Source organism: Homo sapiens, chromosome 13, assembly GCF_000001405.40.
Source record: "Homo sapiens chromosome 13, GRCh38.p14 Primary Assembly".
In the NCBI taxonomy this organism is placed as follows: domain Eukaryota; kingdom Metazoa; phylum Chordata; class Mammalia; order Primates; family Hominidae; genus Homo; species Homo sapiens.
Window position 1 is genome coordinate 63,229,438 of NC_000013.11, and position 14,449 is coordinate 63,243,886.

The 14,449-nt window shown below is 36.9% G+C and overlaps 1 long non-coding RNA gene across 1 annotated transcript in view; it reads right to left on the reverse strand.

Moving 5' to 3' along the window:
* The window catches only part of LINC00376 (long intergenic non-protein coding RNA 376), a 144,994-nt gene that overhangs the window by 46,337 nt on the left and 84,208 nt on the right, over positions 1-14,449 (reverse strand). The window contains exon 4 of the long non-coding RNA NR_126409.1: positions 2,576-2,694. This is a non-coding gene — a long non-coding RNA (long intergenic non-protein coding RNA 376). The remainder of the gene's footprint in view (positions 1-2,575; positions 2,695-14,449) is intronic.

The following is a 14,449-nucleotide window of genomic DNA, read 5'->3' on the forward strand; positions in this document are numbered from 1 at the left end:
ATGCCTGTTTATTGCTAAGGAGAATTTAATTGGTATACTATTGTTAACATCTATTTACCAATTGATGTACTTTTCAATTGTTTACAGTGTTTGGTAATTTTGAATGAAGTAACTCTGAACACTCAATACTTGAGTGTGTGTGTGTGTGTGTGTGTGTGTGTGTGTGTATTCATAGGCTTTTATTTCACTTGGGTAAAAACCTAGAAGTGTAATTGTGGGCATACATGGTAATATAGTAATGCATGTTTATAAGAAACTTCTCAACTGTGTTCTAGATTTGCTGTACCATTTCCCATTTTCACTAACAATGTATAAGATTCCCTGTTACCCTGTATCCTCACCAGTAATTGGCATTACCTGTTTTTCTTCTCCTTTCTAATAGCTGTGTAGTGATATTGCATTGTGGTGTTACTTTGTTTTTTCTGAATAACTAATGATGTGAAGAATATTTTAATGGATATATTTGTTATCACTATGTCTCCTTTGGAGTAGTGTCTAATATTTTCCCCATTTGTATATGTCTAGTTGTTTACTTACTATTGCATTTTAAGTTTCCTTCTTATAGTCTAGATATAAATCCTTTGTCAGTAGGATATTTAAAATCTTTTTTTTTTATTTTTTACCTTGTCGCTTCATTCTCTTAGCATTATACTTTTCAGAGCAAGAACTTTAAATGTTGATGAAGTGTAGTTTATCTTTTTTTTTTTATATAAGATGATTTCGGTAACACATATAAAATTCTTTGCTAAATCCAAGCCCTGGCTGGGCACAGTGGCTCATATCTGTAGTTCCAACACTTTGGAAGGCTAAGGTGGGAGGATTGCTTTAGGGAGGAGTTTGAGGCCAGTATGGTCAACATAGAGAGAACCTGTCTCTGCAAAAGAGTCAACTGGGCCTAGTGGTATGAACCTGTGGTCTCAGCTACTAGGGAGGCTGAAGCAAAAGAATTGCTTGCACCCAGAGTTTGAGGCTGCAGTGAACTACGATGGTTCCACTGTACTCCAGCCTAGGTGATCAAGGGAGACCCTGTCTCAAAAACAAATAACAAATCTATGTCCTGAAGTACATTTTCCTAAGTTTTCTTCTAAAACTTCCATATTTTCATTTATTACATTTAGTGTTATGATCCAATATCTGTACAAGACTGAGGTATAAATTTAGATATATATTTCATGTATGGATATCTAATTGAAAATACTATCTTTGCTGTTGTACCTTTTTAAAATATAATGTGCTCAGATTTGTGCAGTGTCATGCTTTATACCTGGTGGTTTTCCTGCTTCTGAAGTCTATTTTGTATGATGATATATTCATTCCAGCTTTCTGGAATAGTATTTGCATGGTATATCTTTGATAGTATTTGCATGGAACATCTCTGTATATTATTTGCATGGTACATCTTTTGTCAGCTTTGCATGTATTTGCATGGTACATCTTTTGATAATGTTTGCATGGTACATCTTTTGCCAGCTTTTACTTTTAATCTAAGATACTTTCATAATTAAATTTAGTTTCCTGTAGGCAACATATAATTGGGTATTATATTTTTATTCCATTTGGTAACTTGTGTTTTGTGATTGATATGTTTTGGCAATTCACAGTATTTTTAAAATTTTAACTTACTACATTTGGATTGGTTTTGGTATTTTAAAAAAAAACAATTAAATTTTATTTTTTAATTTCAATATATTTATTTATTTTGCGACCATGTTTTGAGACTGGCTAATTTTTGTATTTTCTGTGGAGATAAGGTTTCACTATGCTACCAAGGCTGGTCTCAAACTCCTGTCCTCAAGTGATCTGCTGCCTCAGCCTCCCAAAGTTTTGGGATTACAGGCACGAGCTACTGCTGTATTTTTTATTTATTATAATTTTTGCTTAGAGATTACAACCTCAAAATCTATTTTTCTCAGACTATTTAGAGGTAATATATTTTACCAGTTCAACTAAAACTTAGAGTTTTTAAAATCATATAAATCCTTTTATTCTACTGTATATTGCTGTCCCATATACTATATCTGCATGCATTACAGTTTTAAGAAAATGATATAATGTTTGCTTCCTAATGTAGTATCCTCCATTTATCCAGCTATTTATAAATTTGATTGCTCTCCCTTTATTCAGAAATTCCAGGTTTCCATCTTACATAATTTGTCTTCAACCTGAAAACCTTCCTATTGCATTTCTTATAGAGTAAATCTGCTGGTCCCAAACTTTCATAGTTTTCCTTAAACTGCAAAGTATTTATTTATTTAACCTTTATTCCTCATAAATATGATCACTATTCATAAAATTCTGAGTTATTAGTTATTTGTTTTAGCAGTTGGATTATGATGCTATTGACATTGTTTTCCTTGTGTTTATCTCTCTACTGCAGATATTCCTTCACACTCTCCAGTCTGATAGGCCCTCTGCTTGGTCCACAAAGCAGGAAGCTGGAGTTCTGTCAGAATTGTATCCACTCAAGCCCTCTCCCCCTGTTGTGCAGTTATATGCAACCAGGAGAGAGCTGTGGTAAGGTAGTCAGAGAAAAGAGAGGAGAAAAATAATAATAACAACAGGAATCTCCACCTACCCCCAACTCTTTGGATCACAGGGTCCTTCTTTTCAGCCCCTTTGCCCAGAAGGATAGGCTGTCTCTGAGTCTTAAATGATACTGCAGCTGTGAGATTTTGCCCCTGGTTCTGGTCCTTTCTGGTTAGGGAGAAAGAGAGGAAAAAGAGTTCTCTCCCACACTCTCCTCTACACATAGGCCCTTTTTCCTATTTCTTTGGCTAGAAAGTGTGGTTTCCCCTCTGACTTTTTTTTGCTGTCCACAGTCACTGGCCATTTTCACGATTTGGCCAATTCATAAGTGAAACCAGTAAATAAAGAAGGAAATAAAAAAATGTAAATTTACTTTTATGTAGATTCTTCAATTTTGATTTCTCTATCTACCTGATATTCTTTATAGGCAAAACCAGTAAATAAAGAAGGAAAGAAAAAAATGTAAACCTACTTTTATGTAGATTCTTCAATTTTGATTTCTCTATCTACCTGATATTCTTTATACATGAAACCAGTAAATAAAGGAAAGAAAATAATGTAAATTTACTTTTATGTAGATTCTTCAATTTTGATTTCTCTCTCAATCTACCTGATATTCTTTAGTTTTAAAGAGTCCTCAGAGAGTTGTTTTTGCTCTTTCCAGACTTTTAGACGTAATGAGTGGGAGAGATGAGCTGATGTGGACACATTCAATCTAGATTAGCCCAGAAGTCAAATCAGTGTTTTCTACTATTAAATTTGTTGAAAAGGAAAAAAAAAGGCTGAAAATAGTGTTGAGTTAACTAAGATTTGAAAATGTCAAGTGAGTATATGTATTTCTATTACCTTTCTTAATATGAAATGAATAACAAATGTTTCTGTTACCAGCTGGCCATTCTCGCAACCTCATAATGAATTTACATATAAAATACATTTTACCAGTTTTAGTGCTCTAAATGTGAGACTTTTACTGGGAAAAAAGGCATACCTAGAAATAGTTATCAGAGGGGACAACATAAGGAGCTACATTCTTAGGAACAAAAGCAAAACAATCTATAGGTAATATTTTCAAAATCTACAACAATAAATAATTTTTAGGAACTCCAATTTTAAAAATGAAGGCATGTTTTACTAAAATTATTTTAAAAGGTTTAGTATAAAAATTAGCAATAGTTTGATGATAAAATGCAGTTCTCTGGAGCACAGAATAACTAAGTCATTTTATAGAAAGAAACAAACCTTTCATTTGTCTCATTTTGTATACAATTAATCTAAATATATGCAGGTTTTTCTTGTTTTTTTAACTAAATATATTTCTAAATGTATCTTGTTAGACATATGCAAATGCATAATTATAGAAACATAATTTTAATTTAGTTTCATCATAATGTCAATAATATACGTATTATATTTTATCTCAATCAATTGAAATAATTTTATTATGAAACAGAAAAAATATATCATTTTTATCTTCTATGTATCTGCACATCAAATAACTATTTTATATCTAGTAGAATCTCAACTTTTATCTTAAATACCACCTTAACCATAGTGACTAACTTTTGTTTTTAACAAACTTAGGTTCATGAAATGGAGATGGAAAACTTGAAACTCTCATGAAGTGTTTCCCCCATAGAGAGGTGAAGCTGGCTGGGCTTCTGGGTCGGGTGGGGAACTGGAGAACTTTTCTGTCTAGCTAAAGAATTTTAAATGCACCAATCAGTGCTCCGTGTCTAGCTAAAGGATTGTAATGCATCAATCAGCACTCTGTAAAAATGCACCAATCAGCACTCTGTGTCTAGCTAAAGGATTGTAAACACACCAATCAGCACTCTGTAAAATGGACCAATCAGCACTCTATAAAATGGACCAATTAGCGCTCTGTAAAATGGATCAATCAGCAGGATGTGGGCAGGGCCAAATAAGGGAATAAAAGCTGGCCATCTGAGCCAGCAGCAGCAACCCGCTCAGGTCCCCTTCCACACTGTGGAAGCTTTATTCTTTTGCTCTTCACAATAAATCTTGCTTCTGCTCACTCTTTGGGTCCGGACTACCTTTATGGACTGTAACACTCACTGCGAACGTGCAGCTTCACTCCTGAAGTCAGTGAGACCACGAACCCACTGGGAGGAACAAACAACTCTGGATGTGCCAGCTTTAAGAGCTGTAACACTCACTGTGAAGGTCTGCGGCTTCATTCCTGAAGTCAAGCGAGACCATGAATCCACCAGAAGGAAGAAACTCTGGACACATGTGAACATCTGAAGGAACAAACTCTGGACACACCATTTTTAAGAACTGTAACACTCACCGCGAGGATCTGAGGCTTCATTCTTGAAGTCAGTGAGACCAAGAACCCACCAGAAGGAACCAATTCCGGACACATTTTGGCAACCACGAAGGGACTATCACCAAGCGGTGAGTACCATCAGACCCGTTTCGCTTGCTATTCTGTCCTATTTTTCCTGAGAATTCGGGGGCTAAATACCAGGCACTTGTCGGCCAGTTAAAAGTGACTAGTGTGGCTGCCAGACTAAAGACACGGGTGTCAGGCTTTCTGGGAAAGTGCTCTCTAACAACCCCTGACTCTTCAGAGTTGGGAGGGTTGGTTTTGCCTGGAACCAGCTTCTGCTTCTCCTGTACTTCTGGGCTGAGCCGAGGGTCAACAGAGAGGAAAGCCATTCAGCTCCGGGGTCCCGCCAAAAAGTTGGTTGACCCTGTGGCCATGAACGCAACTCTCAAAGTCATCTTGCCCAAGTGACACTCGCCCATCTATCCTATCTGTCCTGACCCTTGCCTCCTGCATCCTAATGCCTATCAGACAAACTTCCTCTTGCCTCTCTTCTTCGAGGCTAGTCCCACTTCTAAATACCACTCCCTGTCTCTGGTGTTTTTCTAGTTTCTCCTAGAAGAATGATTTCTAGTATAAACTCCAGGACTCTGTTACCTTCTTTAGGCACCCGGGCTCACCAATCAGAAAGACATAATTTTTGCCCAAAGCCCCATCGTAGGGGGGACTATCTGGAATTTTAGGATCCCTCCTCAGACTAGCAGGGGGCTAACAAAAGCTATTCCTGAAGCTAGGATATGGGGATCCTCAGAAACTGTATCCTTTCTATTCATATAAGTGAGGACAAAAGGCATCACTCTTCCAACTCTGGAGATCCCTCCCCTCACTGAGGGTATGGCCCTCCCCTTCATTTTTGTGGCATAACATCTTTAAAGGACAGGGGTAAAGTCACAATACTAACAGGAGAATGCTTAGGACTCTAACGGGTTTTTGAGAATGCATTGGTAAGGACCACTAAATCTGATTTTTCTCAGTCCTCCTTGTGGTCTAGGAGGACAGGCAATGGTGCAGGTTTTCAAGAATGCATTGGTAAGGGCCACTAAATCCGACATTCTACCATCCTCCTTGTGGTCTAGGGGAAAAGTAGTGTTTCTGTTGCTGTGTTGGTGAGCACAACTATTCTGATCAGCAGAGTCGAGGAACCACTGAGGCTTCTTGGTTAAGAGGTGTTTCTGCTGCTGCATCAGTGAGCGCAACTATTCCAATCAGCAGGGTCCAGGGACTGTTGCAGGTTCTTGGGCAAGGGGAGAAACAAACAAACAAACCAAAACCATGGGCAGTTTTGTCTTTCAGATGGGAAACACTCAGGCATCAACAGGCTCACCTTTGAAATGCATCCTAATCCATTTGGACAATTTTGACCTACAAACCCTGAAAAAGAGGCAGCTCATTTTTTTCTGCACTATGGATGGGCCCCAATATTCTCTCTCTCTGATGGGGAAAAATGGCCACCTGAGGGAAGTATAAATTACAATACTATCCTGCTGCTTGACCTTTTCTGTAAGAGGGAAGGCAAATGGAGTGAAATACCTTATGTCCAAGCTTTCTTTTCATTGAAGGAGAATCCACAACTATGAAAACTTGCAATTTACATTCCACAGGAGGACCTCTCAGTTTACCCCCATGTCCTAGCCTCCCTATAGCTCCCCTTCCTATTAATGATAAGCCTCCTCTAATCTCCCCACCCAGAAGGAAACAAACAAAGAAATCCTCAAAGGACCACAAAAACGCTCGAGCTATCCTTTATGTCCCCTTCAAGCTGTAGGGGGAGGAGAATTTGGCCCAACCTGGGTACATGTCCCTTTCTCCCTCTCTGATTTAAAGCAGATCAATGCAGACCTGGTGAAGTTTTCAGATGATCCTGTTAGGTACATAGATGTCCTACAGGGTCTAGGGCAAACCTCCAATCTCACTTGGAGAGAAGTCATGCTATTGTTAGATCAAACCCTGGCCTTTAATGAAAAGAATACAGCTTTAGCTGCAGCCTGAGACTTTGGAGATACCTGGTACCTTAGTCAAGTAAATGATGGAATGACAGCTGAAGAAAGGGACAAATTCCCTACCAACCAGCAAACCATCAGCAGTATGGATCCCCACTGGGACCTCAACTCAGATCATAGGGACTGGAGTCGTAAACATCTGCTGACCTGTGTTCTAGAAGGACTAAGGAGAAGTAGGAAAAAGCCCATGAATTATTCAATGATGTCCACCATAACTCAGGGAAAGGAAGAAAATCCTTCTGCCTTCCTCAAGTGGCCACAGGGAGCCTGAAGAAAATACACTCCCCTGCCACCAGAGTCACTTGAGGGTCAATTGATTCTAAAGATAAGTTTATTACCCAGTCAGCCACAGATATCAGGAGAAAGCTCCAAAAGCAAGCTCTGGGCCCTGAACAAAATCTGGAGGCATTATTAAACCTGGCAACCTCAGTATTCTATAATAGGGACCAAGAAGAGCAGGCCCAAAAGGGAAAGTGAGATCAGAGAAAGACCGCAGCCTTAGTCATGGCCCTCAGGCAAACAAACCTGGGTGGTTCAGAGAGGACAGAAAATGGAGCAGGCCAATCACCCGGTAGGGCTTGCTATCAGTGTGGTTTACAAAGACACTTTAAAAAAGATTGGCCACCCCAGCCAGCAGTGGCAACCTATTCCAGTCCCCTTCCATGCTGTGGAAGCTTTGTTCTTTTGCTCTTCACAATAAATCTTGCTGCTGCTCACTCTTTGGGTCCACACTACCTTTATGAGCTGTAACACTCACTGGAAACATCTGCGGCTTCACTCCTGAAGTCAGCGAGACCACGAACCGACCGGGAGGAACAAACAATTCTGGACGCACCACCTTTAAGAGCTGTAACACTCACTGCGAAGGTCTATGGCTTCACTGCTGAAGTCAAGCGAGACCACAAACCTACCAGAAGGAACAAACTTTGGACACATCTGAACATCTGAAGAAACAAACTCCGGAAACACCATTTTTAAGAACTGTAACACTCACCGCGAGGGTCTGTGGCTTCATTCTTGAAGTCAGCGAGACCAAGAACCCAACGGAAAGAACCAATTCTGGACACATCATGAGAACACATTTTATATTGGCTTTACAAAATGTAAAGAGTCAAAAATAAACAAAAATATTAACATCATGTAAAGACATTTTCATTTTCTGTTACTCTACAGAAGTTCTAAAATGTATAAGAATAAGAAGTGAAGGTAAATTTTTAAATTGTAAAATAAAGAGCATTTTGTGTTTTTTCTTTCTCAGATCTTTAAATGAGGATCTTTTAATGAGCCTTTAAATGAGGATCTTGTAATGAGGCCAGGTGTAATCAGTGTTTCTTGTGAGTGGGAGACAGAAGAGTCAAAGCCTGACAAGGAGACGTGATGGCTGACGCAAAGTTTGGAGAGATGCTATTGCTGAGTTTGAAGATAGAGGGATCACAACTCAGGGAATGAAGTTGGCCACTAGAAGCTAAGAAAGACAAGAGCCTCCTAATGTAGTACAGCCCTACCAACACCATGATTTTATCCCCATGAGGCATATTTCAGACGTCTAACCTCCAGAACTATATATTTTTTAAGTGTTGTTTTAAGCCCTGAAGTTGGTGGTAATTTGTTAGAACAGCAATAGAAAATGAGTACAACTCTAAACTAAACAGTCATTTATTTCTAAAGTTCTGTCCTAAGTTAGAAGCCATGAGAAATTCACTTGATAATAGTTCAGCAGAGAAAGTGTAATGCACGTATCTGAAGTCATCAACCCTAAAACAAAGAAACTTTTGAGTGTAGACTTTAGAAAACATGATTCTCGTGGCAGATGGAATGCGAGAATAGAAATTGTCTTTGTACTCATCTTACAGTTTGAGAAATATGTTTCGTAGTATGGTTATTTTTCAGAGATCTTGAGAAAGATACTATCTTTATATCTGTCAGAATGGAAGATACTGGAGAGGCAAGTGTCTACATTCTGTATGTCTGCGAAGCATGATGAGACTTCGCTGTGACAGCTCCCTGAGTAGAGCTCAAATCACGCTGTTGCCACCTGAGCAGTAGGGCAGAGCCTACTCTGCTCTTCTGAATATGAAACAGGTCCAGTTGTTCCACACAACCGATGTTCGTGGTTTCTTTGAATAAACATAGAAATTGATCCTCCCAGTCTTAAAACTTGAAAAAGTTATATTCGTTTCATGTAAGTTTCTTTGTCAGGAAACCAACTATAAGTCCTCCCAGATAGCATCAAGCAGCTGAAACTTACTGGATCACTACATTTAGACAATGAGATGCCAGACCGCTCACTTGTCATAACTGCCTATCTAACTCCTGCTTCCTGTTGACCAATTCCTTTTCCTTTCTTTTCCCTAATTCCTGTTTTCCCACACATGATTACATTTCTTCTCTGCTATATAAACCCCTAATTTTAGTTAGACAAGGAGACAGGTTTGAGGCTGATCTCCCAGCTCCTTGGCTGTAGCACTCAAATAAAGCCTTCTTCCCTGGCAAAACTCATTGTCTTAGTCATTGCTTTTTGTACATCAAGCAGCAGGTCCTAGATCAAACCCTTGGAGTTTTGGTAACAAATACGATAAAAGCAAATGTGAACAGCAGAAATTTAGAGAAAGAAGAACTCGGATGGCATGAAGAGAGTGGTGCTATTTTGGTGGCATTTTGCTTGTAATGGTCCTTGTTTCTTCCAAAGGGCCACTGTAAGAAGCCTTCTGACATTCCCAGATGCAAATTATTAGAAATAATATATAGCCAACTGACAGCCACTTGTGGAACCACATGCTTCATATTTCAGGGAGTTTATTGCTTACTCAAACTACACACCTGCATGGGCATCTGATGGCAACAACATATGTAGAAAATTGGACATCCCTAGTCTTTACTGACACACAAATAATGAGAACCTTATGGATTGGACTTGGAGTACATAGTCCAGGCATTTTCTAATGGAAATAGGGGTATTATAAGGGGAGCTCTTCAAGGAGGCTTGCCAAGGCTGGCAGTTTGATAAGAAAATAAAAGAATTCATGTGTGGACTGAATGCACTACTTCACTGAAGAAACATCTCTGTCAACAACACAACTTTTCAACAAACCAAAGAAAGGGTTTGTACCCTCAAATTCTATTAGAGATATCTATATCACTATAGAATCTGAAGTTTTAAAGGTCAGTGACTAGACATTATAGCAACTGAGCCAGAGTGTAGTGAAATAAGAATAATTTGTAGAAATATTACTGGTAAAATTACACTATGGTAGTGTGGCTTTTATTATTGTTTTCAATGGCTGGAACATAATGGTTTAAAAGATAATTTTAACCAGTTAATTTCAACCAGTTAAAAGTGGGCCAACAGAGTTGTATTCCCAGGTGAGATGGATGGGCAGTATTTCAAAATAATATCTGAAAGTTTGTATTGGTGAGAATCTGGATTATAATATCTAGAATATAGTTATATCCATCACCCAGATTCAAACTACAATGTACTAAACAATACCTTTCTGTTACTATCCCAGACACTGTAAATGTGTAGTTAATGGTTAAAAGTATTTCTATTAGATATGAATAAAAATTGTACTCTAATTTTAACCATTTGGTATGTTAGATATTAATCTATTTATCTAAACTTCCTTCTATAGCTATGCAGTATAAAAAGTTTTATAGTATTATTAGCAAAATTAAATGGAGATGATAAACCACAGGATACGAAAGTATTTGGAAAAACTGAATTGAAGCCTCTAATTGATACCATACCTGGGTAACTGGATTAGTCAGAAAAAGAGGTCAGTGTGACCTGACCTTAGTAAAATTAGGATGCAATACAATGCCTCCATCAATACACGTAAAAATGTACTTGTTAACACACGAGGAAAAATAATATTCCAAATGGTAAAATATGATCAATGGACTTGTAAAGTGAGAAGTTCATAGTTCATTTATTTTTGTTTTTTAGAATAAGTTTTTGCTTTTCCTCACGTGATACAAATCCTCGTGATCATCAACATGGTAAAAAGTGTCCTGCATTCTATAAAATAAAGCAGTAATTGTCTTAATACAGGAATGGTAAACAGTGTCCTGCATAGTATGAAATGATGCAGTTATTGTCTTAAGATGATTAAGGTACATGAGGCAAAGTGATACTGCTCCGGGTCAGAGTGTACACTGGGATGGGATGGAGAAGTGGTAGGCAGGTAAGGTATTTGATGACTTGGCTACAGCTGAGGTGGTTTTTATCTTAACTAGAATTCCTTGTAAATATTGACCAATGAAACTTAGTAATTGAAAGATAATTGAGTGCCTCATGGGCACTTTACTGATTACTGATCTAGGAATGATTTTAAATGATATGCCTGGTCCCTTGAAGTTGTTTATTGTAAATAAACTTGTAACTTATGCACTACATACACCTGACTAGTGAAGTGTATAAGCTGAGAGACACTAAAACCTAGTAGCATCCCTGGGTTAACTCATCCTGCAGAAGTCCTTGTCTTTCAGCATCTGAAAATACTTCCAGGGGTGAGAAAGGGATAACAGAAATATGCATCTGCTGCCACTGGGGTCATCCCCATATTGATGTGAGAGGTTTGCCCATTTTGATTCTCTATTGTTTCCTTTATTATTTTCTATTCCAGTTGGGTGTTGAATGAGACTAAAAGAACAAAGCTACTCATAATTAACCTGATCCTTTCTCACTACTGAATTTTTAAGTCTCTGATATCTGTACCTACATGCTATGTCTTCTGCTTCCTTACTTCATTCATTGTTTCTTTTTTCCTCTCACCTGCCCAAGAGCTTTACTTCTTCCTATTATCAGTATTTCATTTTAATTCCATAATAATCAGTTTAATAATACATTTCAATATCCTCAAGCTAAAATAAATAAAATTTTAACAGTTGTAATTAAAACAACCTACCACCTTCTCTCAACAGGGAAATTTTGGTAGGCTTATGATAACTCAACAATGGGAAAATAAACAACCTTATTAAAAAATGGGCCAAAGACCTCAATAGACACTTTACAAAGAAGATATAAAGATGACAAATAAGCCTGTAAAAGATGCTCATTATCATATGCCATCAGGGAAATGCAAATTAAAACAAGATACTACTACATCCCTATTGGAATAGTTAAAATCCAGAACAATGACAACATAAAATAGTGGCAAGGATGTGGAGCAAGAGAGTCTCTCTCTTAGACAACTATGGAGACAGTAAAAACATCAGAGGTTACAGGGGGTTATGGGGGAGAAAGAGATGAGTATGCGGAGCACAGAAGATTTCTTTTATAGATTTACAGAATACAAGTGCGTTATGGTTACATGCATATTTTGTGTAGTGGTGAAGTCTGAGCTTTTAGTGTAACCATCACCTGAATAGTGTTTAGTATACCAAACAGGCAATTTCTCATTCTTCACCCCACTCATCACTCCACCCTTTGGAGTGTCCCATGTCTATTATTCCACACAGAGAGGAGATTTTAGGGCAGTGAAACTATTTCATACTATAATGGTAGATGCATGTCATTATACATTCATTAAAACACACAATGTACAACACCAAGAGTGAACCTTAATATAAACTACAGACTCTGGGTTATAATGATGTGTCAATGCAGGCTTATCCATTATAACAAATATACTACTCTGGTGGGGGATGTTGATAATGGGGAGGCTGTGCATTTGAGGATACAGGGAGTGTATGAAAATTCTCTGCACTTTCTGTTCAATTTAGCTGTTAACCTAAAACTACTTTAAAAAAATAAAGTTTACCTAAAAGAAAACATCATGGGATATAATTAAACACCCAAATAGGGTGGCTATTATCTATTTTTTAAAAAGCATTTGTATTGCTAGTAGCAATGTAAAATGATGCAGCCTCTATGGAAAATACTATGGTGGTTTTTCAAAAAAATTAAATATAGAATTACCATATTACCCAGTAATTTTACCTCTGGGTGTAAAAAACAAGGATTAAAAAAATAAATAAAATGTAAAATAAATAAAAAGAATGTAGTTTTCTCCATTATTCATATCTATTTCATTTGATGCCATGATACTTTTGAAATAAAATGTCATTCCTTAAAAAAAGATATGCATATGAATGAATATGAATTTGTATAATGGTTTATTGTCTCCATGACAGCACAAGATTTGTCTGTTTTGTTTATAGCTCAAGTTTCAGAATCCAGAAGAGACAGTTTTATATAATCAGGTTTTAATACTTATTCCTCACACACAAAAAATTCTATTTATAAAGACTGGAATAAAAGCACACCCTTTTTCAATTTCTAAATTTGTTGCTTTTTACAAATATTATTATAATATCTATACATAATTTGAAAAAACCAACAAATTTAGAATTCATAACATAAAATATATTATATCTAAAACTAAATGTATGCCATATTGATAGATGTAAATGTGCCAAAATAATTTATATTTAAAGGCTCTTTTAAAAATAAAACGTATGTACTTTTAAAAAGTTAAGTTAAAACAAACCAGTCAAAAGGCTAAAAACAATCACAAAACATCATAGGCATTGTGAACTTATTTTCAAACAAGTATTAACGCAGGTCAATTAATTAAAATTAATTAAAACAAATATAGCCACAATATAAAAAAAGATATAATCTATAATTAAGAACTACAAGCTGAGTCTTGTTAAACTTTATATATTTGTTAGAACTTAAATATATTTCTAAGTTATAATTTGTGATTGCCAATATAGAAAATATTAACACAGCTTTAAAATATAACCCATGTCAAAATGAGGTGCCTAATAAATTCTTATACTGTGGTTCAATGCAGAATCCATTCATTTTTAATATCTTACGGGTAATACGCCATAAAATTACACATGTAAAGTGATAATCCTAAAATACTAAACTTCGGGTTACTAAATGCAACCATTGCTGTGTTGATTAATTATTAAGAGATACACCTTTTATTAATATTGTGGGCATAGATAAAGACAGAAATCATAGAATATTCTTCAATTCTGTTACCTCCATAAAAATTTTATGGCACCTTGCTGTTTTTGTTTGTTTTTTGAGACCGAGTCTCGCTCTGTCGCCCAGGCTGGAGTGCAGTGGCTTGATCCTGGCCCACTGCAACCTCCGCCTCACATGTTCAAGCGATTCTCCTGCCTCAACCTCCTGAGTAGCTGGGATTATAGGCATGTGTCACCACACCCAGCTAATTTTTTATATTTAGTAGAGAAGGGGTTTCACCATGTTAGCCAGGCTGATCTCGAACTTCCGACCTCTGGTGATCCACCCGCCTCAACCTCCCAAAGTGTTGGGATTACAGGCATGAGCCACCATGCCCGGCCGGTACCTTGCTGTTAAAACACTTCTATAAATAATCTTTTACACGTTGAAAATAATATAGCAGGGAACCAATTTTTTTTAAATTAAAGTGATTATATTGAATCTTGTGTAGATGAATATTTAACACATAATTCAGTTGAAAACAATATCTGCCAATTTTGTGTTAAATGGAATACATTACATTTGAAAAAACAGTCTCATTTAGATTTTACTTGTAACAAATATGTGTAATGAATTTGGGACTTCTCAAAT